Source organism: Homo sapiens, chromosome 1, assembly GCF_000001405.40.
Source record: "Homo sapiens chromosome 1, GRCh38.p14 Primary Assembly".
In the NCBI taxonomy this organism is placed as follows: Eukaryota; Metazoa; Chordata; class Mammalia; order Primates; family Hominidae; genus Homo; species Homo sapiens.
Genome location: NC_000001.11, coordinates 43089817 through 43092387, shown reverse-complemented (window position 1 = coordinate 43092387; position 2571 = coordinate 43089817). Strand labels below are relative to the sequence as shown.

Here is a 2571-nt window from a genome sequence, read left to right as displayed (position 1 = left end):
AATCGCTTGAACCCGGGAGGCAATGTTGCAGTCAGCCGAGATCATGCCACTGCTCTCCAGCCTGGGAGACAGAGTGAGACTCCATCTCAAAAAAAAAAAAAAAAGTTTCCTTTTGCCCCAGCCTCTCCAGATATGCATATGGTTGCCATAGTATGTATATCCCAGATTGCAATCCCTTTGCTATTCCCAAATAAACTCTTTGCTTTGCAGAGTTGGTCTCTTTGTCACTCATTATAGTTGACAATCTGGTGTCAGAAGTGACAGGGAAGCAAGCTCACCTTGGAGAGACTGGTGGCCCCAGGAATAGAGTACAGTACCCACCTGAGCTGCTGTGCTCTTCATTTTCATGAATCACCTCTTTGTTTCTGTCAGTCGCCTCATATATTTTGGACTCACTCCTTTTGGTTGAGCTCTGACTTTATTCAGGATCTGGTTTTATAAAGGCCTCAGGGACATCATCCATCTGGTGAGTACTCTTTCGGTTTCTGCACACCTAATTTAAAATTTAGGTTAGCTAGATTTTTCTTGTTTCTGAACATCTTCCAAGAGCAAAATAACATTTTAACAGGCATGAGTCAACACTATTTTGACTTGCTGTCTATTGGAGGCACACAGGTATTGGAGCTGCATGTGCAGGCACCAGACCAAAAGGTTAGAAGCACCCCAAGAATAACCAAACAGAAATGTTGTTTGTGTTCCATTTGCAGCTAATACATGGCAAGACAGAAATGTAGGTTGCACCCTGTTTGCAGCTAGTGTATTTGTAGAGTTTTTCCTTTCGCTCTTGAGAGATTAATAAGAAACAGAATGGGATCCCAGATTCTAAGGTATGCAAAGATAGTGCTCCTTCAGAGACTTTAGCCGGCCACATATTCAAACATTATGGCCCATTATCTTGCATATTTTTAAACCGATGGGCAAATTATGCCAAAGAAAATTTAAAATTACAATGACCATTATGTAGAACATTCCATATGAACAACACTGCACTTTAAGAAGGGCATTTAAAAATGAAGGCTCCCAAATTAGCCCCACCAGGGATACCTGCTGAGGTGCAGAAGCTCCTAAAATGATTTCAAACATTTTTATTGCCTCTTTTAAAAGACTCTTCGCAGAAGACAAAGAGCTTGAGTAACTAACTTATTTTTTTAAGACACAAAACAGTATAACAGCTAGTGTTAGAGACTCCCTTAACCAGATTAAAAATCTAAAATCAGAACAAAGTTCATTTCATGCACGTCCATGTGGAGAGGCCACCAAACAGGCTTTGTGTAAGCAACATGGCTATTTCACCTGGGTGCAGGCGGGCTGAGTCCGAAAAGAGAGTCAGCAAAGGGAGATGGGGTGGGGCTGTTTTATAGGATTTGGGTAGGTAAAGGAAAAAGGGGAGTTGTTCTCTAGCGGGCAGGAGTGGGGGTCACAAGGTACTCAGTGGGGGAGCTTTTGAGCCAGAATGAGCCAGGAGAAGGAATTTCACAAGACAATGTCATCAGTTAAGGCAGGGCCGGGCATTTTCACTTCTTTTGTGATTCTTCAGTTACTTCAGGCCATCTGAGCGTATACGTGCAAGTCACAGGGGATGCGATGGCTTGGCTTGGGCTCAGAGGCCTGACATTCCTGCCTTCTTATATTAATAAGAAAAATAAAACAAAATAGTGTTGAAGTGTTGGGATGGCGAAAATTTTTGGGGGGTGGTATGGAGAGAGAATGGGCGATGTTTCTCAGGGCTGCTTCAAGCGGGATTGGGGCGGTGTGGGAACCTAGAGTGGGAGAGATTAAGCTGAAGGAAGATTTTGTGGTAAGGGGTGATATTGTGGGGTTGTTAGAAGAAACATTTGTCGTGTAGAATTATTGGTGATGGGCTGGATACGGTTTTGTATGAATTGAAAAACTAAATGGAATAAGAGAAGGAGGAAAACAGTTATAAAAGGTCTAAGAATTGGGAGGACCTAGGACATCTGATTAGAGAGTGCCTGAGGAGATTCAGCATAGTCCTGCCAGCAAAGATGATTTATTTACTTCAAGAGTTAAGAGTGGCAGTTTGGGGATAGCACCAGGAGATATCAGCTGTGATGGCTTGGAGAAACAGTGTAAACCAGCAGTGTAAACAAGAGCAGGGCATGTATGAGTAGTTGAGAATGGTGAATAGGCATATGACTAGATAGAAGATAGTAGGGATGACAAGTTTTTTGGGGGCACAGCCTAAGTTGGTCTGGTGTCTGGAATGAGACTGGGGCCTAATAAAAAGGAGCGTCTATACAGGAGCTCAAATGGGCTGTAGCCTGTAGCATTCTGAGGACAGGCCTGAATTCTGAGAAGGGAAAGTGGTGAAAGTATTGTCTAGTCCTTTTTAAGTTGGTGGCTGAGCTTGGTGAGGTGTGTTTTTAAAAGACTATTAGTCTGTTCTACTTTTCCTGAAGACTGAGGACTGTAAGGGATATGAAGGTTCTACCGAATACCAAGAGCATGAGAAACTGCTTGGGTGATTTGACTAGTAAAGGCCGGTCTGCTATCGGACTGCATAGAGCTGGGAAGGCCAAACCGAGGAATTATGTCTGACAGAAGAAATGA

At 43.1% G+C, this 2571-nt stretch overlaps 1 annotated feature.

Moving 5' to 3' along the window:
• Positions 742–1432: an enhancer, noted in NCBI's record as "OCT4-NANOG-H3K27ac hESC enhancer chr1:43556627-43557317 (GRCh37/hg19 assembly coordinates)". NCBI's record gives its function as "activates a minimal SCP1, AML or CMV promoter by ChIP-STARR-seq in primed H9 embryonic stem cells {active_cell/tissue: H9 hESC(primed)}" and the evidence as "EXISTENCE:reporter gene assay evidence [ECO:0000049][PMID:30033119]".